Source organism: Homo sapiens, chromosome 2 (assembly GCF_000001405.40).
Source record: "Homo sapiens chromosome 2, GRCh38.p14 Primary Assembly".
NCBI lineage: Eukaryota > Metazoa > Chordata > Mammalia > Primates > Hominidae > Homo > Homo sapiens.
This window is the reverse complement of record NC_000002.12, coordinates 58,854,183-58,881,596: the sequence shown is the minus strand read 5'-3', so window position 1 is coordinate 58,881,596 and position 27,414 is coordinate 58,854,183. Positions and strand designations below refer to the sequence as shown.

The 27,414-nt window shown below is 39.8% G+C and overlaps 1 long non-coding RNA gene across 1 annotated transcript in view, besides 1 other annotated feature; it reads right to left on the bottom strand.

Moving 5' to 3' along the window:
• Positions 1-27,414, bottom strand: part of LINC01122 (long intergenic non-protein coding RNA 1122) — a 543,014-nt gene that overhangs the window by 182,170 nt on the left and 333,430 nt on the right. The window lies entirely within an intron of this gene.
• Positions 5,352-6,661: an enhancer, noted in NCBI's record as "VISTA enhancer hs1199". NCBI's record gives its function as "enhancer in: other[3/6]" and the evidence as "EXISTENCE:transgenic organism evidence [ECO:0001131][PMID:17130149]".

Here is a 27,414-nt window from a genome sequence, read left to right as displayed (position 1 = left end):
TGTTTAGATAGGCTGTCTGTTACATGGGTTTAATTATTTTCCCCATTTGCTTTTATATGTACTTTCTCTCCTGTTGTGTCAGGGTTTTATTATTATTATTATTTTTAATCCCAGAAAAAAAGGGAAAAGATTCAATAAGGAAAAAGCACAAATGCTGTAAAAATCTACTATAATAATGTGTTCAGTAGGAACTGTGGTCATTGCAGGGTAAAGTTGCACACCTACTCATTCTTTTGTGATGATCATGTTTTTACTATTTCGAATTTAATACTTTTTCTAATATATTATATGTTACCTCCCATGTATTTAAGCTGTACTTAAAAGCATGCTAAGAACTGGTAATTCTTTAATGGTTGTTCACTTACAAGCGATTGTGGGTCATTACACAATCATTTAAAGGGCATTAATGAGAACCATTTAATGGTTTTAGTAGAATATCATTGTAAGGGACAGGGGAAAAGTTACTGGCTGTAAATTTTTATGACCATTTCTTACAAAACGTATTACTTTAAAGATTTATGTATGTAACAATGAGTACAATAAAAGCCATGCTAAAAATAATTTGAAATCAAAGTAATGCATATAGATAAGTCTTTGCTCTGCTGCCATTGGGTAGGCCTTTAAAAAAAAAACCTTCCTTTTCACCTTCCTTATCCTCTTTGTGTGTGTGTGTGTGTGTGTGTGTGTGAGAGAGAGAGAGAGAGAGAGACAGAGAGAGAGAGAGAGAGAGAGAGAGTCTTGCCCTGTTGCCCAGGCTGGAGTGCAATGGCACAATCTTGCTCACTGCAACCTCCACCTCCAGGGTTCAAATGATTCTCTTGCCTCAGCCTCCTGAGTAGCTGGGATTACAGGCACCCGCCACAACATCCAGCTAATTTTTGTATTTTTAGTAGAGACGGGGTTTCACCATATTGGCCAGGCTTGTGTCAAACTCCTGACCTCGTGATCTGCCCTCCTCGGCCTCCCAAAGTGCTGGGATTACAGGCATGGGCCTCTGCACCCGGCCTCCTTCTCCTCTTTCCTCTCCTTCTTCCTTCCTCCTTCCCTGCCTCCCACCCTTCCTCACTCTTTCCATTTTCTTTCTTAAAGAACACTTCAGTACTATGAAAGATTTTGTTTTAATGAAAATGATTAGAGATTGAAATACTAATTAAAATGTTTTCTAGTTGGAGGGCAGGGTAGACAAAGAGGTAAATATAGCAGCACCGCATTGCATAGAAATGCCTAGATGTAGTGAATCTTTGTTTACAGACCTTTCTTCAATATATCATTAGTTCAAACTATTTCCTGTTATATACCATAGGACTAAAATAGAATATCCAATACTTTCTAGGACATCAATCCCTGAGGTAGGACAGGGAACTAAAAAAGAACTAGTCCTGGTAGGATAGCCATGAAGATCTGTAAAATACAGACAGAAATCATCCTCACGTGTGCACAGAGGAGCAACATACATCTTGCTCCGTGTAGCTCATCTCTTGAAAAGAAACGGGTATTTGAGAAGCTCACTCTACTGAGGGAGTAACCTTATTAAAGTGCTTTAATAACACAACAGTCATCATATTATGCCTGGTTTTGTCCACTTATGATTCTTGTGGAATACATAATGAATAAGACAATGCCCCTTTCCCAGTATTCTTGCATAAGCAGGGAGAATATTTCTAATTAAAAAGGCAGAGTTAGTACAGCACATGAAATGAACAGAACCATATCTCTCGAAATGCTGAGATTTTACTATTTGCATTGTCACACTTGTATTTCTTTCTGAATCTAGCCCAATGCCCATTACCAATAAGATGAAGATTTAAGATAACTTGGTCAAAAGATGGTGAATTACAACTTTTAATTAAAATGTGGAAAATAGTTGCTTTAAAATAAACATGATAATACTTTCATGACCATTAATTTTTTATGGAGAGAACAACAAAAGCAACCTGAATATTTTAGAATGTGATATTATAAAGTCAGACAAAGGGGATTTTTAGAAAGTTATGGATGTCCCAGAGAGATGCTTGTGCACCTGCTATTCTTCATTTCTAGTGCCCTTGGAAACCCCAGCAGAATGCAACCCATACATCTGGACCCACAGTGATTTATTTACTTGACTGTACTCAGGTAAAGCCAATGATGACCATGATGATAAGATAGTAGGAAACTTTGGGGTTGACACAGCATATTTACATCAAAGAACAATTCAATAAATATTAATTGATAATAGGGAGAAGAAGAGCTGATTTCTTAATGTGACCTGTAAATATTAATATAAAATACAATTTTTATAAATCTAATATAGGGTTTAAATATTATTGATACTATGTTGTAGATTGAATATAGCAATATGATTGAAAGATTGGTGATTTGTTTGAGTGTGCACTATGGTTCACTTCACCATCATTAGTTCATATTCATGCAGACTTAGCTTCACACTTTCTACCATTGTTTCTAACTCTTCCCCTAAATAAATGTCCTATTACCATTAAGTCTTCTCTGACTGAATATGTGTGCAGAGTCATCTCTCCATCATTTTATTCAAGCCAATTTCTGCCAGGAATTACCCTGATTTCTCCCTGCCCACATACTGTCTGTCTGGATCAGCACACCCCTTCCAGGAAGCCTTCCTTGATTACTCTTACTAAAGGCCTGGCTTCAAAAATCTAAATCTACCCCTGCATACTTAGGTGAACCATGGTAGGAGTCACTGAGGAGCCAGGATTGTTCACCTTCTGGCAGGCCAGGCATTCTTTTGGATCAGTTGTCATCTTCATCCATAAAATAAGGAAATAATCATGTCTGCCTTGTAAGGCGGGTGTGATAATTACATAAAACACACATAAAAAAGCATCTGGAACAGCTTAGTTTCATAATAAATGTTTTACTTCCTTGTCTCTTTCCTTACCTCTTGAATTCAGAGAAATTTCTAAGCCATTCAGATATAGTAACTTATTATATTTACTTACTTTCTTGTAACTTTCAATTTTTATTTTGTGGCCCTTCGTTTTCCATTATGTCTCCCAATTAGTCTATGATTCCCCAAAGGAAGGGACCCTTATTTATGTATCCTCATATTCCCTGCCTCATCTAGTGTAGTTCCATATGCACAGTTAGGATCAATAAATATCTACGAGAATTAATATTAATCACTTTCTCCAGTGTTTGCATCAAATTTTAATTTTCATAAAAGCCCCAAATTCTGAACAATGTATTCTACTTTTGCATCTTCTGCTATACTGTACATGACTGAATTTACATACAGGGTGGTGAGGGAGGCATCAAACTGTTTTCAGGTAATTTCTTATCACCTGAGCTGGACAGCCATGTTAGGTAACACGTGGTACTAACAAATCCAAGATTATACATTTGATTCTAATGTGAGTGTGTTTATTTTGCAGAATGAAATTTTCTATACCTAAGAACTTCGTTTTTGTACTGCTGGGAAAGTGTCAGAAAATAAAAATAAAAGAGTGCTAATGATCCCAAGATGGTCTTAGGAAGTGAGCAGTGAGAATCAACACAAACAGGAAAAATAAAAATTAAGCTCCATACATTATGGATGGAAAGAAGATACCTGTGTTGTCTTGGTAGTCAAAGGGCAGTGCATTTTAACATTCACCATTTAACTTACAAGCTTCTTCCCATCATTGCATTGGGGTAGGTGTGGTGCATAAAGGTGGCAGAGCAGAGTGATTGTTCTGGCCTCTGTTGCCAGATGGGCTAACTCTGCTCTGTAACTTGATCAAGTTACATAGCCATGCTCTACCTCCATTTCCTGACTGGTAAAATAGGTAAGAGAGTAAGAGTTCCTCATAGCATTGTCAAGAGGCATAAAGAGGGAACCCAGGTAAAGCTCTCACAACAGCGCCTGACGAGGGCTATGCAAGGATCAACTGTTAACATGGCGGAATCTAAAACACCTCACCAGGATTCTGAGGTAGTGCTTATTTCTCTACTCCATTCTTTGGCCTTTCATAATGAGCAGACCCCAACCAGCATGTTGAGAAATCCTGAGTCTGGACTCACTATCTGGGTGTTCCTCCCTCTCAGTCAGAGGGAGAGAAGTGAAACAGAAGAAAAATTACAGGTGGCTCTTCCCCAAGTCCTCTCTACAATGGCTCTTACACTTTTAAAAGCCAACCATTAAATGTGTGTCCCATTTCTGTGATGTCTCGTGCCCCAGACGCTCTCGGTACTGATGACTTTAGTTTGCAAGCCTGGATTTAGAGAGCATCAAACTAGGATCAAAATGAGAGACGCAAAATAAGAAAATGCTCCCTAAGAGGTGAGGAAACATAATGAGATAAAGGAAAATAGGGGGCTACATTACTGAAATATCCTCATTCCAGAGATCACAACAAAACAAGAGTAGTTAAATGCATAATGAAGTCAGAATCAACAATTAGTAACAAAGTTGAGCTCTAAGAATCAAAATGAAATGGTGGTGGTGCCTTGAGACATTATACATCTGACTAGCAGTAGAAAATGTAATAATTTTGCAAATTATACTGGGAGGTTGGTTCATCCTTAAAAGGTATGCAGTATTATGTGTCATCTGATTTTGATGTGATTTCTAGAAAGAGAAAGGTAAGTTAAAAATAAAGATTCCATTTTAATGCATGTTTACTCTTGCCTTTGTCTGGAATCCAAAAACGACAACATGTTCTTCCCATTTACTGCAGCAGTATTATTTTTATATAAAGTTTGAAACCATGTGCACTGCCAAGGCACCCCTCCAAGAAGGTAAGCCCGATATTCCCATCTATCACATACTCTTCTGACTTTTTTTACTTAAGGGCTTGTCATTCAGTGGGGAGGAAGATCCACCGAATACCAGCCACGTGGAGTTTTATTCCTTCATGCTGTTTGTGATAAACTTCGGGGGACATATTTAACAATCTACAAAAAATGAAATTTCTGGGGCCACCCAGCAGGAGAATAATAACACCATTCTTACAGCAGCATTGAGCTTTAAGACATTGCCAAACTATCTAGGCACAGAATGTGACAAAATGGGGGAGTGGGGGTGGATAATTTCTGCAAGCTTCTAAACCACTCCTCATCCCCCATGCTAGTATTATTATGTTGTTGTTGCTGTTGTTATTGTTATTATTGCTCTTTGTCTTCTTAGGCATAGTCTCCTCTGGGAAGGCAGAACTGTTCACCTTCTGGCAGAGAAGTCATTCTTCTGGATCACAGAGTATCATTTAGCCAGTTTCTCTGAGTTGCTAAATTGCTGAGAAAACCATGGGGGTTTGGGCTTCATGCCTGGAAGAGGCACAGCTGGGGACTGGCTTAGGGTGCATGCCCCCACCATTCTCCTGTATTCCTTTGGCCCCATTTCCTACAACCTGGAAGAAGAAACAAAGTTGCCAGAACCTGGCTTTGTCTCCAAATTTACTTTAACCATCATTTCAGAGGATATAATAGGCCCCAGGTCTGCGGTTGGGGCTGTTCAGAAACAAGGAAGGAATTCCGAGTTTTCGGAGCAAGTTGAGGTTGAGACGTATTATATTCACACACACACACACACACACACACACACACACACACACACACACACACACACAAAATCAGGCCTTAAAGAAGAGCATAGGGTATAAATGTCCTCAAGCTCTCCTGTCCTCAGAAATGTGTTAGAACAGACCTAGCAAAGCCCTAGGGAAAGTGCAGTTGCTGGGACATTAACCAAGATATTTGGAGATCTCACTTTTCTGCTGGAAGCAGGAGTGCAGGGACAATGTTAATTGCAAGAAAATGAGCAAAGAAGCGGGTTTTAACTTTCATGTTCTAACAGGGCAAAAGAGGGAGATTACAAGGAAAGCACAAAGGCAAATGCATGAAGCCGTCTTCTGCCTCCCAAGGGAAGGAGATGAGCATCACAGGATTTGCTGCAGAGGCCCACGGCCAGCACAATCTATTAAATAGCTCAAGTTAGTCAATGTGGAAGAAATTTTTAGACACACATGCCCAACCATATGTGCATGACCAAGATTTAAAATAGAAAAGTGAGAGACTGTTGGATGACTGAGGATTTTTCCCTTGCCAGGAAGTCCTCCTTAAGGATTTCATAGCTTGCAAAAGAGAATTGCTTGCCAGACAAGCCAAGAAAAAGACACAGAAGATTGGGACCTGCTTCCTTAATGATGAAATGTCACGCTGCTATGTAAATCAACCTGAAGAAAAGAGGCAGGCATGATTAAGATGGCTTTGCAGAAACAAGAGAGGTTTCTTGACATCTCCTCCCTAAACTGCTTTAATTCCTCAAATCTCAGGGCTAGAAGCACACACACAATGGAATCTTATGGCAGTCACATTGGGCAATAAGGGAACACCTGTTCCATAGGATTTCTGTGCTGCAGTAAAAAATTACACTGTATGGCTACAATTAATAAGGGACAAATACTTGGTGTTATCAAGTTAGTGGCAGATCAAAGAGCTGCCCCACTGGGTTGCAGTGTGTTTCTAATGTATGTGGAATGAGACTACGACAAACGAGATGGATCCTATTAGCCACATGAGTATCAGCTTTAATAATTTTCCATTACACTAGATAGATGTTTTTTAAAGGACATTCTAGCAACACCCACCTCAGAAAGCCTATGCTTTAGTTCTCTCTATCTCCCCTCCTGTCTCTTTTCTCCTCCCCAGTCTTCCTGACACCATCAGAAAGAACTTAGATGGTACACCATTCCATAGCATGGTGTACAAAACACCAATATAGCTTATGATGGCTAGTGTTTGGGTATGTAATTACCCAACAGCTATGGTTGAAAATGTGCTTCTTGTTTTGGGGAAAAGGGTGGTTTGTGTACAGCATAAAAACATAAAGCTATCCTCTCACACCTTGGGAGCTTCAGGGCTGCAGGGCTCTGGCTCTAGGGTCATTTGGTGTAATTTGTGTGTTTCACAAGAATTATAATAATATCTTCCATAACCCAGGAAGTTTTCTCCTAAATTGTGCCATCAATTTTCAATTCACTTAGATCCCTATAATTTTATGACTAGAGGGGGCTTTAGAATTGACTTAATCAAATTATGTCATTTTACAGAAGAGAAAGGTAAGGCCCTGAAATGTTAAGTGAGTTGTCATATCACAAAACTACTTGGTATGTAAGTCGGGATGAGTTTCCCAATCCTTTGACTTCTAGTCTAGTATTTCCAACACTATACCATACTTCAGCATCATGCTGTGTCATTACTCTTCCATGCTCCTAGGAATAATATGGATCTCTCTACTAAAAATAAGTACTTCTTTTCAAATCTCAGCCTACTAAAGTGAGAGTGATCTCTGATGACACACTGGAAAACAAGAATTCCCTACGAGGAAAAATAATGAGAAGATAGATTGCCACTGATAAAAAATCAAACTGGGACTGTCTGAGTTGTATGAAATATCATAATCACATTATTAATTGGTGCCAGAAACAATTCTGTATTATGAAGAAAACATTAATATGATTTAAAAATATCAGCCCATGGACCACCTGGAGAATATCTGTCAATGATAAATGTCCCCACACAGTAAGTAGGAATCTCTGCTCCATAGGCAGTGATGTGGCTGCCTAGTTCCTCTATGTGGACTCACCCAAATAATCACCTCCACCATCATCAACACCCAATTTGTTGTGTTTTCTATGCAAAGGGTCAACTAAGTGCCAGGAAGTGACAATCTTCATTTATATCCCAGCTGTAAAGGTGATAGAAAATGGAGTCCACCTACTTGCCTGCCAGAAAGACAGCAGTACAACTTCACACTAGAAGATTATGCCACAGCTCTCTAAGGAAACTCATCCCATAGTCTTCTAATCATGTCACTGATGTCTCTAACCCATGGGTTACATTTGGTTTTCATCTTTCTTGTCAACTTCAGTTAGTCTTTTAAGGTACCATGGGGACATTTTCTAAATCCTTAACAGTGTAACTCTGTCACTATTGGGGAATCACGCAATCAAGCAAAACAATTGGGCTCTGTACCCCCTTTTTCTTCTTTTTTGCCTTTGCCATATAGTTCAAGACAATGAAAAGAGCAATTAACTGCACATTCAGAGACTTGGGTTTCAGTCCTGACACATTAACTACACAGCTTGGGAGAGTCACTTGATCTTTCTGGACCTCATCTCTTCATCTGCAAAATGGAAGCATTGAAGGAGATACACTTACAGGTTTCTTGAATCTTTAATATTCTGGGAACTTCCTACAGCACAGGCCTATCACCAGACACAGGATATCTGAGATTATGAAGTTGCTGGCAGACAAAGTTTAAAATTCTCTTAAATTATAGTGTCTAACAAATCCTGAGCTACCAATAAATAATCAACTGTCAAGTGAAAGCATCCCAGCAGTATTTATTGCCCTGCAAGTTGATATGAAATACTAATGTCAAGTACTAGTAATGGTACTTGAATTACTGTATGTATTCAGGTAATTACTGTATGTAATTTGCAAATATGCAACAGCATGTACATTGTAATGATAAGGATAACAATACAGTTGATAACAACTTAGGCTTGCATAAGATTATTTTACTTAGGGTTTCGAAGTGTTTCATAAACATTGGCTCATCTATTTTCTGAATACCAAAAATGCAAGTTACAGCTGGGAACAGAGACAAGGAGGGAGCAAAAGTGTATATCTATCTACACTTTGGAGATGGGTAATCCAGGCCCTGGCAAAAGTACTGATTTCCCCTGGGTGACACAAAGCCAGGGACAGGCCTGGGAACATAGGCCCAGTTTCTGGGTACGTAGCCTGCTGCTCAAAACACAGTCTACCCCAGCTCTCCAATTTACAGTACAAAGTTTATGACATGGCATTACCCAGGCACTTTCAGGTGTCAATTTCCTTTACAATTTTATAAAATATCATTTGGAAGGAGGAAGAAATTTATGCTTGTGCACTAAGAGCTCTCCTGTCTGCCCACTCTCTTGGGACAAGAGTTTGTTTCACTGAACAGAGTTGCAAATACAAGGCACACAGTGCTGCAAAAGCCATGGGGTTTGTTTTTAATTTAAAGAATGGCTCTGATTTGGCTACACGTTTTAAGCAGGCACTGTATAATACAAATCCACTGAATTCACTCAGATGGGAACAAGTTATGCCATCCTAACACTGTCTAGAATCCAGATGTATAGTTACTGTTTTCTTTTGCTTACCTTTTTTTTTTCTCTTGCTGCACGAAATTAGTTCCTTGGATACCAAGATTCTAGAGGCTCATTGTCTTGCAAAATATTCAGGTGCCTCACAACAATCTAAAATAATAAACCTCCAGTGTTACAGCAAAACACAGATGAAAATGTGAAATAATATATGTGTGTGTGTGTGTGTGTGTGTGTATGTGTATATATATATATGCATGTATACATAAAATGAAATATAGACATGGTATGAGAAAGTGAATTACAAACACAAATAAAGAGAAACCAGGTAGGGAGACAGCAAGATAGCTTCTCTTCCCATCATGTGAACTAAGAAATAGAATGGATGCTCATTAAAGTAGTTTACCGGGACTCCAATTTGTTCTGTGATTAAGAGGTATCGGTTAGAGGAGATTGGTGAGGGAGATCAATATTCTTGTCTTCATTCTTAATTCTTCTTTAATGTCTGTCTCCACAGGGCAGCTGAATCAGAGATGTAGAGTAAATCTTTATCCACCAGGGGGCTGCACTTCAGGGGGAAAAAAAAAAAAGGTCTGGTCTACCTCAGCTAGATAAATCAAGTTGATACCTAGCTTTCTTTGTCCTTAAACTCCCAACTTCTGTTCAAGTGTTGCCATGTTTCTGACTAGTAGATGTGATAAGGATGAGGCATGGAGAATAGTATTGGCTGGAGTCACGAAGAAAGTCATTCCTGGATCTTAAAGTAATATGATGGTGTGCTGTACCTAACTGCGTCTTTCACACCAAAGTACCTCAGCAATGGTATTCTTTCACATCCTCATCTTTCTCTACAACTCAAGCTGAGGGGAATTCTTACCTTTAAAACTCAGTGGTGCCATCATCTGAGGCCCACAGTGACAGAATCTGTCTTCTTCTCTCTGAGTCTCCCAGGTTCAACCTCTCTGGCAGTGGTTCCTAACTAGGGGTTATTTTACTTTCCAGGATACATATGCAATGTCAGGGAATGCTCAATTGTCACAAGTAAGGGGAGGGGTACTACTACTACTACTACCTAGTGGGTAGAGCCAAGGAATGCTGCTAAACATCTTACAATATATAGGACAGCCCCTATCAACAAAGAATTACCCATTCCAAAATGTGAGTAGTGCTGAGACTGAGAAACCCTGCCCTAAAGTGATGGGGACACCTTGATGCTTCAACCCAAATGGCTGGTGGGTGACACACCTCACTGAACTCTGGATCTTTGACCTGGAATTACTCTAATAATCTGAAATGTAATGCTTTCTCCTGCTTCACAACATGTATGTTACATTGAGCTAAACATAGAGGCAATCTTGCTGTCACATGCTCTAAAAAAGGAATCAGAGGTACATTACTCAGGGCACTGCCAATGGGCTAGGAGGTAGAAAAGAGTTTATTTTTCAATTTTTTGTTGTAAGCCTCTGTGCCTATAAATTTTTAAGCTATTTGTACGTTGCAGGCTGCTATGTGTTCATCAAAACCTGTTCCCTTTACTTCCTGGACACACAGACTACATTTCCCAGCCTCCTTTGAAGGTGGATGGCCATGTGACTGAGTATTAGCCAATGGAATGTGAGAGAAAGTGATAACAGCGTCTCTGTGCATAGCCCATAAAAATGTATCACATGATCTTTTACCCTCTCTCTTTCCCTGATCCCTGATCAAATACCAAGTCTCCAGCAAAAAGAATCAAAGGCCAGAAGGGATGATGGATCCATCAGATGCAAAGAACCTGGGTCCTTGAAGAACTATTTTGAAGACCACTTGTTGTTAACTAACAACATCTACACTGGACTTTATGTGAATAAGAAAATAAGCCAATGAGAGTTTGGGGTTGTTACAGCATCTAGCATTAATTACCCCAAATTATTATAATATGCATGAATTACTTTAATTTTACAAGTTATAATTCAAATATAAATCATTTAGTTGGTTTAAAATTTCTTGTGGAAAGCATGTTGCTGTCTGGTTTCTGTTCCAGACTTACTGTAATGCCACTGAAATTTCTTTTGCAAATGTAAACTGACCCATATTACTTTCAACCTTGAAGCACTTCACTGGCCACGCATTACTCTTAGTATAAGATTTTTAAATTTATCATGATTCACATGGCCCTTCACAATTGCAAGAGATCCCAAGGATTGAGGAATAAACTCAGAGGTGTGTGCTGTTGAAGAGAAAACCTTCACCTCCCACTACAGAAAGGAAAGGACCCAGTTATCCCTTTTAATACTGCATGTAGCTAGAGTGTAGACTCAAACAATCTAACATCCTTACTTGAGATTTTAAACCTTAAGGAAATAAAGCAAAACAAAGAGAAAATTGAGAAACTATTCAGGGTGACAGCCATGAGAATGAAGCTGCAAGGGCACCAAATTTCCAGGACAGCAGTGGCAGTGACAGGTACAACCTAGACTGTTCTGCAGCGCTACCTTGGCTATGTGGCCCTGCTACCAAGCTTCCTTTAGAGCTTGCCTATTTATGAATTTGAATTTGGTTATTAAGATTCCCATTGGTGCTGTGAGAATTTATAAATTCCATTTCTGCTCTAGTTAACCAATTTTAGAGTCTATTGCTTGCAAGCAAAACCTTTGAGTAATAGAATATCTTCCCCTCACCCTCAGGATTGCAAGCTCCAAGGGGGCAGAAAGTCTACTTTGTTCAACATTGTATCTCCATCTTCTTCCTGCTACACAGTGCCTGGTACACAGTAGAAGGTGATTAGATATTTTTAAATAAATGCATGAATGAAAATACAGGCAGGCAATCAGGTAAATGCACACATCAGCATCAGCCCCCAAAGGGTGTACTATTCCACCATTCTAAAATCAAGAGTTAATAAGGTAGGAGGTCAGAAAATTAGGGAAGGTAGGGCTGAAGTGGAAGGGAAATGGCACCTAGGTGATGAGAGTAAGGGACTGTGGGGATGCTTTGCTGGTTAAGGGTTGTATGCAAGGAAAGCCAACTCCAACTCTCTTGCCTCTTGCTGGATACTGGAAACAGTGCAATAACTACAGTTTTCATGTAACTCCTAGCAAGTATATCTCTTTCCCAAGTTCTCCAGCAAGTGACTGCTTCCCAAACATGTGGAGCTTGGTACTGAGGAGTCAGAAAACATGGGTTCCCTCTTGAAAGGTGATCTCCCTTTTCCAACCCTTAGTATCCTGGCTCCACCTGCTTCAGCTACTTGGCAGTTTGGCTTTTAGAATTGTATTAGTCCATTTTTACACTGCTGATAAAGTCATACCTGAGACTGGGAAGGAAAACAGGTTTAATGGACTCACAGTTCCATGTGGCTAGGGAGGCCCCACGATCATGGCGGAAGGCAAAAGGTACTTCTCACATAGCAGTGGCAAGAGAGAATGAGAGAGAAGCGAAAGCGGAACCCCCTTTACAAAACCATCAGATCTCGTGAGATTTATTCACTACCACAAGAACAGTATGGGGAAAACCACACCCATGATTCGATTATCTCCCACTGGGTCCCTCCCACAGCACATGGGAATCATGGAAGTAGAATTCAAGATGAGATTTTGGTGGGGACCCAGTGCCAAACCATATCAAGAATTCAACAAAATAATGCATTTCATAATGCTTTATAAATTGATAAAGCATTATACAAATGTATAGCAAGATCTTTAAGTGCACAGTTCACCTTAGGAATGGCAACAAAAATCTCAAAAGAGCACCTCAATTACTCAAGAAAGCAGAATTTCTACAACGTGGGCGGCAAATCCAGTTTACACTGGAATGATACTTTTTCTTCCACAGGTAGAAATCACCCATTCTTGTTAGCGTGGCTATTCAAGAGTGGAAATAAGTTGTTTTATGGAGGTATCACTAAGGGAATGAGGGCTGGTTCAGAATCAATTAAGAAAGGAATGCAAATGAGATTTAGATAGTGGAAATTTTTATGGAAATCCCAGAGAAGCTTTGCATAGAGTGGGTGCACTGTGATATCATGGAGTCAACCTGAGACCTTCTGGAGAACTTCATTCCTGTTCACGTTACTCATTCAGGAAGATGGCCCCTGAATTTTCTCATGAGGCATAATAACGACTGCAGACAGAAGCTATTTCTGATTAGAGCTTCTCATAGAAGACAACAGGGACATTAGCCAGCATAGCAAATCCTTGTGATGCCTGCCACAGAAAGGTAGAGGAAGCACCAGGTTTGCCGCCCTTGGGGATAGAGCAAGAGGCCAGCAAATATGTTGCAATTTCAGTCTCTGGGAGGGTTTTAAGGCCACCATTGCATATGCAAGCACATGAACCCTCCAACTGTGGCTTATGACTAAAGCTCATTTGTAGAGTTTGCTAAAGTCTATCATTGAATATGAACCTAAATTTTGACTCTTTTCAAAACGCATAAGCCCCAGGGAGAACAAATATTTTATACAGGGTGATACGAATGAAAATGCACAGGAGGATGACTAGGGAAATCTGAGTTCTAATTCAGACTCAGCCACCAAATTAACTTGTTTAAGTACCATAACCACTATAGGGGCAAAGAGGTAATACCTTTTCCTTACGCACCACAGCAGTCACGGCCAGCACTCCTATAACAAAAGATGTGTCAGCAAGAGAGAAGCATAACAAATTTATTTATCAATGTTTTATGTGAAACCAGGAGCCTTCAGAAATGCAGACGAAAAGACTCAGGGAAAACTGCATGTTTTATGTTAAGTTTGGGGGAAAACACAGATAGTTGTAGAAAACATAATTGGTTAAAAGTGTATAGTCTAATGGTAATAGACTAAGGCAGGGAAACCCAGCAAGGCCTGTCTGCTCAGATTCTTCCTGGCTCCTCTGTGGTAGTACTCCTTCCCTCCAGGTACAGGGCAGGATAACTGTCGCATGAGGGTCTGATGATCAATTTTCAGAGGAGGTAGGTCAGAGAGTGATCTTTCTAGGTTTTATGGTTTGCTCTAGGGGAGTAAGAGGAGTGGGAGACAGAAGAGCAGGAGAAGGTCAGAGAGACCTTCTTGCTTCAGAGGCTTTCCTGTCTCCTTCAGCTCAAAAATACTCAGCATGTCAAGGTATCATATTTTGGGGTATCATGTTCTGAGCCCTGATCCCACCCTGGAAGTTATTTTCCTCATCTGTAGGATGAGTGTGTTTAAATAGAAGTGGTAGATTTCAAAGACATTCTAGCAGTAGATTTCTTTCCTTAAGTCAACCTTTAATTCATGTTCAATATATAAAAACACATAAGAATGGAAGCACTGCTCTGCTTGGTGCAGAGGGTAGGGACTGGGTAAAAGGCTCTTTGTAGAACAAGTGTGGAAAACATTAACCAAGCTAAGCTATTCACAGAGCTCCATGAACCTTTGTTATTTATGGAGTGAAAAGGGTCTAAAAGTCAATGAGAGGATGGAGTAGGAGGAAAGTAAGAGAGGACAAAGAGCGAGCTGGGGAAGATATGTTTTGACTCATTCACAACTGGGCCTAATGTTGGTCTGGCTGCCACTTAAGCAAATGGTGCTCTGGAATCCTGGGTATTGATGCACAATAAATGGCAGCCTATCGGCAAGGATATAGTAAGTGAGGGTCCTTTTAACCAGGTATGGCTATGGCTGGTCAGGCAATCTCATAAGAGATATGCATGAAGTTGTCAGACTTGTAAATATCTGTGGATAATGCAGTTCCCACTTCAGCCCAACCTTCTGAACTTGCAGCAGGTGCCCACTGGTTGCAAATCAGTGGCTGGGCTAGCTGAGAGTCAATCTCTCACACCCTCTGGTTTACAGGTAAAACAGGGGGTCAGGGCAAGACAGGGGGAACTGAGTTGGATGCAGACAGCCAGAGAGCAGCCTCTTGCCATGATTCCCACATAACTCCTTCATGGCAGCCTCTCTCTCTCAAAAAGATGGACATATTTATCAAACAAGAAATAAATGGGGGAAAAAAAGCCCGAAATCTCCCTTCCTAAAATTCATGGTAGGTTTGAGGACCCAGATTTAAAATTTATATCCCCAAGTTAAACACATATCTGGCCCAAACATGATGTTTCCATTCAAAAGTTTCAACCTGCTGGAGAAAGAAGTTCTTGCTTCAGAAACTCAAATGCACTGATTAAAAGTGAGTGCCACAAACACACACTCCAATATCATCAAGAGCGAGTCAGAACCCACACCAGAGTTAACAGGAAACTCGCTGGAAGACAGTCAGAGTCGCCACTGAAACAAAAGCCAGGCTCTGAATGCCAGCTCAGCAGGCAGCTCTCGCCTTTTCAATGGGACTTGCTCTTTGATGTGTGTTTTTTAACCGCAACTTTCATGTGGTGATGGAAGAAGCTAAGAGCAAGGTGGTAGCATTATGTGAAGACCAATGCTTTAAAATGCCCTTTGCCCTTCAACAGCACCTGGCAGACAAAGAAGAACCACATAGACGGGAGAAGCCTACCTGTTTTTTAAAGAATATCTGTGCTAGCAGAATCCAAAAGGGTGAGAAGGAGCATGCTCTTCAATGGCAGAAAAAAATTTGGTGGGGCCACTTAGACAGATAGATTTGGCTTAAAATAAAAGTTCATTTACAGTTTCATCTGGATCATAACCCAAATTAAAATTATTTGTGTCCAATTAGCTTAAAATAAAATATCCCTATGTGTGGCGAGTCTTTAACACATTTATTTTCAGTAGTGAGAGAATGAAGCAGCAGACAGGACCTGCACCCTTCAGAGGCTATACAGGTGTGTCTTGTTTTGCGTGACACACACATTCCTGGAAAAGTTGAGTGGAAGTGAAACAATATTTTTACACATAAGGTGTCTGCTATTTTAGAAGCATGTCACTGATAAAACCAATGATCTCTATTTTTTGACTGTAAACACAGCTTTTTATACCTCTGGGTTTGCCTAATGAGGTTGATTGAACTTGAAAGATTTGAGCCCCCTGTTTGGGGCAGTCTTAACAGCAGCAAGTCCCTACAGGAAACCTTTAGAAGCTCTTCTGAGTCAGCTGACTCAAAAAGGCCACAGAAGAGTCTGTAATGTATCTATATCATTGGGTAGGTACATGCAACTAGGCTTCCATAGCTGCTACACTGAACTACATATTATCTGATCTTTCAAAGAACTGGGATGAGGGCAGGCTGTTCTCAGGAACTGGAAGATAGGGAGAAATATTATGGGTAGGGCATGTCCATGGTGTGGGAGGGGAGGTCGTCCAGGTTCATGTTTCCAGGTACCCCACGCGGCACTGAAACTCAAGAGTTCAGAGGGTGGTAACCAAGTGTGGTCAAACTGTCTGGCCTGAAGAAAGCACAGGCAGAGCCAAGAGCCTTTCCATACCCCCAGGGGCACCAACTAGAAACTGCCTATTCAGAGCCTGGCTGGGAGGAAGGCTGACCAAGAAGCAGGAAGAAGATAAGGGAAGGAGAGGAAAAGGAAGAGCAGGAGAAGAGGTGGGAATAAAGAAGCAGGACTCCTTCATATACACTGGTAAAGGCTAGAGGGGCACATGTGTGGCTGACGGCATGATTTTATTTAATTGGTTTAAAGGATTAGTTGCATGTAAAATCATTAACGAAGTCTAAGATGCTAGTATCTACCCATGTACCCTGCACCATACCTTATCTCTTGAGGCTTAATGGATATATTTTCAGAACAAATAAAAGAAAGCAGCAAAGTGAGTCACCAAGAGGTGCTAATTAAAGGTGAAAAAATATATTTATTTTCTCCATTTATTATAATTTTCATTAAGTCATTGCTGATGAATGCATGTCGTTGTTCTAAGAGAGTTTATAGATGTTTGAAGTACACTGCCATTCCAACGACAATAGCAACATGCTCCATGAGCCCCCATGACGGTATCAACCCCATTATATTAGAGCAGTTATCAGAGCTCTCACTCTTGGAGAACACAAAAGCTGTTTACTGCCCAGGCCCCCATCTATCCCCACCAGCTCCACTGGCCCCACAGGCAGAATGACTAGACTTTCTCTATGCTGTCATTGCCTCAAACCCAGACACCAGCTGCTTTGACACCTGGAGTGCCCTTTCCCTCCCATCTGCCTCTGGGCAACTTTGACTTCACCTCTGCAATGCAGCTCAGTTTTCACCTTTCCTAGGCAGCCATCTGTGATGGTTAATATTGAGTGCCAACTTGACTGGATTGAAGGCTGCACAGTACTGTTCCTGGGTGTGTCTGTGAGGGTGTTGCCAAAAGAGATTAACATTTGAGTCAGTGGACTGGGAGAGGCAGACCCACCCTCAATCTGAGTGGGGCCAATCTAATTGGCTGCCAGTGCAGCTAGAATAAAGCATGCAGAAGAACGCGGAAGGACTAGACTTGCTGAGTCTTCTGGCCTCCATCTTTCTCCCATGCTGGATGCTTCCTGTCCTCGAACATCAGACTCTAAGTTCTTCAGGTTTTGGACTCTTGGACTTAACACCAGTGATTTGCCAGGGGCTCTTGGGCCTTCGGCCACAGAGTAAAGGCTGCACAATGGGCTTCCCTACTTTTGAGGTTTTGGGACTTGGACTGGCTTCCTGGCTCCTCAGCTTGCAGACAGCCTGTTGTGGACTTCACCATGTGATAATGTGAGTCAGTAATGCTACTAAACTCTTCTTCATATATTCATCTATCCTATTTGTTCTGTCCCTTTAGAGAACCCTGACTAATACACCATCCTATCCTAGCACCCATCAGTTGGAATTGCAACTTTCTGTTTAGCTGTTCATGTCCGGCCAGGCTGTAAGCACTCTGAAGGCAAGGAGTGGGCCTTGCTCCTGTAGTCCCAGTACCTGTCATAGTGCCAGGCAGGTACTCACTTGCTATTCCTCAAAACACGGAGCCACGGAGAAGCCAGCAGGATACTCCTCCAGCACATCCCTGTGCTGCCCTGCAGAGGCACTTCCTGACACAAGCTCACACTTTTTTACGCTCCAAAATCATCTCGTCTAGCTGTATGGCAGGTTTTTCCATCTACTTGCATATGTTTTATAGGCTATAATCTGAGAAAGGTAGCACTAAGTGGTATAGAAAACTGGCCAATGCCCACATAAATAAAGTATCTGCATGAGCTTTAAGTAGAGTTACAAAAAAATTGGAGAAAGAGTTTCTTGTGGTTTGAGTTAGGACAACTGGGGAGAGACTCACTTTATGTTGAGTACATACACGTGAAATATTTATTTTGTGTATTAGTTTGGGTTCTCTGAGACGCAGATGCCAGGATGGGATTAAATGTGTGAGAGATTTAATGAGGAAGTACTTGTCAAGGCTGAAGGGGACAGAGCTGGAGAAGGCAGAGTGAGTCTTCAGACCATGCCATAAGTCTGACCTTGTGAAAGAGAGGGGGAAAGAAGGAAGGCTGGATAGAAAGAATCTCCACTGCAACACAGATATAAGAAAGATCCAGCCAGGCCAATGGTGAGTCTCTCTACTCCCCCTCACCCCATTTCTGTCTCTGTCTCTTTCCTTGAATCTGTGTTTGAAATTTTAGATTGTTTATGACCTCAAGAAGTAGGCATTGTTATTATTAAAGCCACCATTAAGTACAGAAGTACTCTGTTTCAAAAGCCATCACAAAGGAAATAAATATCTCATTCTGCCATAAGACTCAATCTTGAGTCTTAACAGGATCTCAAAGTGGTTGAGTGAGAAATAAAAGCCACTAACATTCATTGAGTAGTTATAGGTGTCATGTTCTGTCCCAGGTTCTCCACATGACTTAACTCACTTGCTCCTCACAATAATTCTGTCCGATAGGTCCTAAACTGCCGCCATTTAAAGATAAAGCAACTGAAGCCTAGATTGTTTAAATTACTTGTTCATCATCACAAAACTAGTGACTGGCAGAGGCCCATTCAAAATCAGCCCACACTCATAACTACCACATTTGATAGTAACCCAAGTAACCCAGCCTGGTATATGGCAGAGGCAGCTATGCAACACAATTTCTGTTCCTCCTTCCATACTTTGGAGTTGTTGCTGGGAAGTAGATTTCTCAGCTTCCCACCTCAACTCCTACATGGTTTTATGACTCATATTTGTCAACAGAGTGTGAAAGAAAGTGATTGTGCCACTTCTGGGCCAGGGCCTCAAGAAGACAGCGCAGATTCCCCATGGGAACTTCCCTTTCTGTCACCTGAAGCCACTGATGCATTGTGACCTTCGAAACCACAGGTTGCTGATGGCAGAGCTTCTGTCAGTTGGGGTCTTTGAATGTCTTCGTGGAACAGGAATGCCCTCTACTGACTTGAAACCAATTTTGGCCCTTCTGTTTTACTGGGTTTAAGTCAATATAATTGGGGGATCTCTGTGTTAGAGCAGTTACCCTTCTGGCCTAAGAAGGTAGGAAGATATCTTGCTACAGGGGTGTGAAGTAATTGGCTTAAGTTCACAGGAAGTAGTAATGGTAGAGGTAGGAATAAAATGTACAACAAGCTCTTGTTCTTGGCATTGCACTGAGAAGAGGCAGTTGGCAAGAGGGAGAGAACCCATAGAGTCTCAGAAGGCCTGGAAGAAACCCACTCCATCTCATTGCAGTCTCTGAGGAGCTAGTCTACAAAGTGAGACCCAGAAGACTTAGTCCCAAGACTCAACTCAAGTGTTGATGAGGAGAATGTGTCCATCATACTGAAGGAGAACCCAAGTACCACTGTGACATGCAAGGCTTAGGAAGTTGTCCTAGAACAGGAAAGCACCAAGAACCATTCTATGGGCATGACAGATTGTCAGAGCCTGTCTAAGCAGGAGGAGAGTCTTCCACAACAGGAAGAAAAATAGGAGCCAAATAAAAAGCCCATCCAACTAGGCATTTGTGGCTGGCATGAGGAAAACCCCATAGTTTGATGTGTATAAGGACATATAGAGACTCAACAATGCACCATTGGGTCCCCAAACTCATTTCAAACCCAAACAGTGAACCTACCAGGAAAAAGTGGATATTCTTTCTGTTTAATTACCATCCTCTGGCTAAAGGGCACTAAAATGCAGAGAGTGTTTTGTTAGCTGAAAGTAGTCAATGCATTGTTAACAAGAGATATTTAAAATACTGGGCATCTCTGAACACAAGTTTCCTTTGGGCCTCTATGGTTTCCATCCATGGTCTTAGGGAAGCTCCCCTTGATTTATGTAGAATGAGCCCTAGGCCCTGTGAAACAACTAGGCCTTTCTGTGCTAAGGGTTCAAGGTTACAAACCTGTCCCTATTGTGAATCCTATTCAAACACAGCATCTTCATGGAACCCTAGGGTAAGGGAAGTACAATATAATATGTTTTTTCCAGGGGACAAAGGGTGCAAACTCTCCAAAAGTACCTTGCCTACTGAGTGTACATCATGCATTCTAAAAACACATAAGTGCTCTTCTGCCTTCGCAAAGAAGGTAAAAGCAAGAAAGTGGATTAAATGGACAAACAACAGCCTACTTCATATTTGGATATTATATTGTCTTCAGTGAAGTGTTTCTAATGTTCTTGAGACTTACAAATAATAAAAAGGGTATCCCCTCCATTGAAATCCAAGTAAATACACTGTAATTGGTTTAGAGTGCCTTTAATACTAGTGTTCTCACGTTTTAAAACTCTTTATTCCAAGTTTCAATAACATGTTCTTGAAAGATAGACTCTCTAAGTATTTCTTTGTCCTTAGGAAGACACTCAAATCACTTTTCTAAACTGATGGTCTGGCATCCTTCCAAAACTGATTTAGAAGTTATGGCTCACACCCCATGTCTGAATCTTCTAACCTTGGCACATTCCTAAGTCCTATGAATAGGGTTGGCAGTTGGGAAGGCTGGCTATAAAAAGAGAGAGAGCTGCATGTATCTAGCTCTGTTTAGCAAATTTTGCTTTCATGAAAATCCTAGAGAGTCAAGAAGACATTGCCAAGATACCTACAAGAACTCAGTAACCTGTTGGACTATTCCATATGCCATATCACACTCAAAATCACTTAAATTTGTCTAGTGTTTTGTAGTTTGCAAAACATTTTCATATTTATTACCTCATTTGATCAATATAATGGTCCTGTGAAAATATACAGGGTAAATATTAATATCCCCACTTGAAAGATAAAAGATACTGAGGCACAGGGGGAGTTACGTTGAACAGTACCCAGCTGATTAACGACGGAGATGAGAAAGACACTTGGTCTCCAGGCAGTGAGTTTGATTATCCTTCCACTGTACCACTCTGCCTCCTCAGAAGCCTTTAGCTCCAGTTCATCAGTTTCCAATCTGCTTCTAATGATGGCTAGACTGTGCATAGTGCTGGTCATACCAGGCCAAAGAGAAGAGATCTGCTACTGTGAGGAATGCCACCTCCAAGTAGAATTTAAGTTTAGTATTGGCAGAGCTATCAGTAGAGAAAAAAGCCCCTTTATCCACAGTATCTTAGAACTCCAGTACAAGCGCTCATCATTTTCACTAATGTGCAATTTCTCTCAAAGCTCTTTGGAGTTAGGAACTTGCTTTGCCTACTGTGAGAAAGGCATCCACCAAGCTAAATTGGGCCCTCAGGCATGCACCCAGCTTTATCAGAAGCCAATACTGTTTAGATGGAGTCCTTCCATGCACATCTCCCAGGACAGTTTTAGACAGCCTATGAGTATACTTTATTTCCTTTAAAACAAGTAACCTAGAAAATGAAATAACACATATTAGATTAAGCTCTGTCCCATTTGGCTAATTCAGAAGTTAATGGAAGGTCTCTTTCGGTCATTGGTATTGGCAGAGACACATTTAGTAAACTCTCATGGGAACCTCACACAGGTACCGTAGCAGCTCTTACCCATAAATTAAGAATGGCATTTAAAGGCAGCTTTTTCCTCTCTAGGAGGGTGCCATTCAGGTTTCTCTTGACAAAAGCCTGCTCACCAAACTCCCCAAACAATACAAAGAATGAGCGGGGGAGAAGGGAATCAAAAGAGAGAAAAAGAGAGAACCAGAGGGAAAGAGAGAGATAGAGACCTTATAAATGGATATGACACAGGGTGGCAAGAGAAGAATGAGCCAGATCACTAACAAATATACTGAGGGGCCCACTATGCATGAAGTTTATTGGCAACTAACAATTAATTTTACCTCTTTGAACCATGTTCAAAGAGAGTGTAGCACTAGCCTGCTTACATTGAGGATTTAATGCAGAATGCTGATTTATAATTGTTCTGTGAAATGATAACTTTGAAAATAGTGTAAGCAATACAAAATAAAGCATGACTATTTCTTGACTTTAACCCCAGTCCCCATATTCCAGTAAAAATATCCAGAATCAAATCATTTCCTGAAAACACATTCTAATTGGTTCTGTGATCACCTATTTTGTCAGAGTTGATGAAGGTACTCCACCTGTCTGCCACTTTTCCAGCAGTGAGTCCTCTTCTAACAAAGGATAAAAAAATGCAATGACCTCCTCACCTCTTTCCAAATGTATCCTGAGCCTACCTACCATGATGGAAAGACTACTCATATTATAAACAGTTTAGTTATTTTATTTTATATTTCTGTAATTATATATAAATGGAAGAGGTCTGTAGATTTTTAAATCTTATTATATTACTATCTTTCTCGTTTTTTTGGTATCAGAGTGATGCTAACATCATAAAATGAATTTTGCAGTTTTCAGTATTTGTTTATATTTAGGAATAATTTAAAATTAATTGGCCTTTGAAGATCCCAGGATTTGTTTTGTTTTATAGGTAATATTTTTAACACTTTAACCACTTTTAATATCTTATTTAAAAGTTACATAATTTTGTCTTTGGCTACCACTTTAGTTATTTCTTTCCAATTGTTCTCAGATAATTTTGTCAATTTATATTTTTCCAAAATATTTTCATTTCACTGAGGTTTCAAACATACTGCAACATAAGGACACAATTATCTTATAATTTTTATTATCCCTGAATCTACTCTAAAACTCATATTACCATTTCTAATTTTATTTGTGTTATCCCCTCCCTTTATTGTAATTGGCAAGGTTTTATCAATTAATAAAATAGCTGACAAAATAAATAAGTTAATAACATTATTATATATAATATATATCACATATTATAAATACAAATATATAATAAATAAATATAATTTATATGATAAATATATCAAAGTGAAATTTAAAATAAAATAGATTTTCCTTATACCCAGAGACTGATTCATCACTTTTACTATCTTTACATTTCTCATTTCTGTTTCTATCTTTAGTATTTTCTTCCTGATTATTTTATGTTTATTTAATTTCGAGAGTTTTACTTTTAATTTATTTGTAGTTATCCTTTCTTTATTCCCCCAAAGAAATAAAATATTTAAGGCTATTACTTCACCTCTGAATATAGCATTGGCTGAGTCTCATAGTCTTGATATGTAGCATTCTCATGTTTATTGCTTATTATATATTATATATTATTTATTGTACACATTTTATTATATATTGCTTGTTGTGTACGTTATTCCTCATGCCCTTTGAACAATACGTTAGCTAAAATACTCCGAAAAGATGAGATAATCTCTTTAAAATACTGTATAATAGCCAGAAGAGAAAAATAACTTCATTTATTCATAAGAACTTAAATTACAGCTAAGAGGGGACTTTTCACTATTAACTATTACATATTAGCATCTAAGTTTTTAGTCAAGTAGTTTTCAGCTCTGCCTAAATATACATTGGTGCATATTCTACTTTGATTTCCCGAAGTCAGGGATCAAGTCCTGAAGTATAGAAATTAAGACATTAAAGACTTCAAAGGGTTAGGCACAGTGGCTCACAACTGTAACCCTAGCACTTTGGGAGGCTGAGGCAGGAGGATCACATGAGCTTGGGAGTTCAAGGCCAGCCTGAACAACAGAGTGAGACCTCCCAATCTCTCCAAAAAATTTTAAAAAATTAGCTGGGTGTGATGGCATGTTCCTGTGGTCCCAGCTACTCGGGATGCTAAGGCAGGAGGATTTCTTGAGCCCAGAAGGTTGAGGCTGCAGTGAGCTAAAATCACGCCATTGCACCCCAGCCTGGGGAACAGAGCAAGACCTTGTCTCAAAAAATTAAAAAAAAAAAAAGAAAAAAAAAACTCAAAGAGAATGTTCGATGTATAAAACTACTAATGGAAATAAAAAATAATGTATCAATACTTTTCACATATTCTTCAATAAAGTTGTCTTCAATAGAAGATCTATAGAGAAGAGCAACAGAAAAAAAGAGAAAGGAACCGTGAAATGAAGGTCTCTGTTTCCTGTGGCCAATTATGCAAAATGATAGACATTGCTTCAAAATCGGTTGTTAAAAAATATGTGCATTCCTATGCATTTTTTTTATTTTCCACTTTCCTTCCTCCCTTCTTTCACTTCCTTTCTTCCTTTACCTTCATCTCTCCATCCCTCCTGCCCTCCTTCAATAATGCTCACAAACCACTCTTTAGTGACGAGAGCTGACATTCTTTTATTGGATTTGGGGTCTGATTTATGTAAAAGAATCAGCAGTGCCCACCTCTCACTCACAATCTGCTACTATTCTAGTCAGAAATCATCTCTGTTTTCCTGCGGGTGGAATGGAATTTCTCTTTTTCTCCACATAAACTCCCTATCTTCACAGCATCACAATCCAACTGGAAAGCAGGTAATCTTCTTTCCATCTCTCTTTGAGCTGATTGTTATAAAATATGAAAAATTGGTACAAAACATTTAAACTGCTTTAGAAACCTTGAAAGAAATATTAAACAATTAGTTAAAAATAATTGCTTAATTGCAATGTGTCAGGGAATCAAATGGCACTAGGCACAAAAGTAACTGCTTAGGAATAGAACCCCTGTGAAAGCTAAGCAGAGGCTGGGTAGAAAGTGGGAAGCAGATGGCATGGCCACTTCAACCATGCACCTGTACCATGTTCAGAGCCTCTCAGGGCAGGCCACAGAGGAGAGTAACGAACTCCGTTTTACAAATGGAGACTATGAACATTAGAGAGAGAAAATGGCTTTCCCAAAAGTCAGAGCCCTGATTTGTGTCCACGTCTTCAGTTCCCCAAACAGCCCTACCACATCACAGTTGCACCCTGCTACCTTCTAAGGGTCTGCTCCAACAGAAAAGATCGAATCACCGTCCCCTTGTGCAGATGCACTTCTCTGCTTGTAGACTTTCGGACTGATGAACTGCTCTCTCCTCACTTTGTTCTGTGTGTCTAAATTCCACACATTCTTCAGGGAGGAGGCTGAGTCTCACCTCTGCCACCTGTCTTTCCCTAGAACTTCATCCTTTTATATTCTTCCCTCATTGTGCCTGGGGCACTCAACTAGCAAGGAACCGCAAATGCGGGTTTGACTTATGATTGACTATAAGCTGGTCCAGGGCAGGAGCTGTAGGTTCCTTGCAGAGCATAGGACCAGTGTGTCAACGGAGTGGTATACCACAAATCTCAGATGATTTTAGTTATTGAAGAGGACCTTGTGAGAAGAAAAGAGAACACCAAAAGTCAGAGAAACCAAGAAGCCACTGAGCTCCACTAACTACACTCTGTCAACTAAGATAGCCTATCGGGTAGGAATGTTGACGAAAATGTTCAGGGGCAAATATTCTAAGACACTATCTTAAGAATTCACTGCCAATAAACTATTCTCTCTGTCAAATTCTGACGCTTACACTTGCATCTTTATCCCACAGAAATATATTGCCTAATGTCAACAAAAGTTTCCCTAAATGATTATTCCCAAACAATTAGTAGCTTCCTATTAATTGGTTGGATTTTGATAATTTAGTCTGGAAATTTTATTAGGATCTGAAATTTTCTTTAGGGTGATGTTTTTTCCACCGTGCTCTGAATTTTCCAATTTTACGTAGCTATTTAAATCAATATTTCAATGCTTATGTAATATTTAAGGACTGCATCATTGTTTTACTTTTCCCCATAAAACAGTAACTCTCTCTTGTACTTTTAGAGTATCTACAATACATTTTAGTTGTATGGGGTATCCGATTTATTTCCTTTCTCACTGAATACAAGAAGAAAGTTTTCACTAATTTTCTAAAATTGCAATTGCCACATAGCCATGACTAAATATGCCACAAATTTACACAACACTTAGAGAGCCTGTCCTATGTCTGCCTTCCCAATCTGCCCCAACCCTTATTTTACTGTTATATGAAACACATTTGTTTTGACGAGCTTCCGACATCTCTCTAGTTTGTATTGTCCTTCTTCCATGTCTGTGTATTGTTCACAGGCAGGGAATCTAATTCCCTAGGAAGCATATTATTTGAAACTTACCATCTGTATATGCCACAAAGTTTAATTTTTTTCTAAATTTCCTCCCATCCTCTTTGTCAATACTTATTTTTAAAAGACATTATTGCCCTCCAGGTGTCCAAATTTTCTTCTCATTTTTCTCTTAAAAACTGACTTAAAGCAGGAAGTCAATATCTCAGCCATCATTAATTTGACACCCTTCTCTTATTTATTCAGTAGTCTTTTTCTCGAGGATCACTTTTTCCCCCGATACATTTATAAAAGATCTCCTTACTCCATTTAACCTCTTTTACTAGCAATATCTCATTTTCCACTTTTGCACTCCTTATCTTTTCCTTAGTAACTTTAAGTTGTTCTGTCTATTTTTATATAGTTCTTGCCATCTCCACTCTCAGGCAATTGTCCTGTTACACACAGATCTTGAGGAGCCACTGCGGATAACAGACTGTCTTTTTACTAGATTCCCAGAGGCAGAAGGGTCCTGCAGTCCCTGTGTTCTGCCCAGTTCTCTCACTTGGCCAGTGCAATTTACACTTTAATTTTACTTTACACTTTAATTACACTAAAGTGTAATTAAAATTTACACTTTAATTGTATTGTTTTAGCCTACTTCACACCTATCTACAATTGCAAATCTTAATACTTACTCCCCTTGCATCATCCATATCAGATTTCCTTCCAATCTCTTGTCTTCCAGTGAGGAATAGTACTTTGTAGTATCATTATCAATGATCACATTTCTAAATAGGCCGCGGGCAGGATGGACATGATTTACTCTATTAGGCCCAGGTAATTTGCATACTGTTAAGTGATTTGCATGCTGGCAGATCCTAGAACCAGGTTTCAGAGACTTCCCACATTTCTCTCTTAATCACAAGGTGTAGCTTATTTTCACTCCCTATAAAATTATCCTTTATTTTCCTCTCTCATACCATTCTCTCCCACTGGAAATAATACATACTAACATAAGCATGTCATTGCAAGATATTCTCTACCTTCTGAGCTAATGTTCTCTTTGGCATAATTCATCATCCTCTCTGATTTTTCAGAGCTGGTGACAATGGTGACACCCCTAATATCTGAATGATGTCCTTCATAAATATTTTGCTGAGT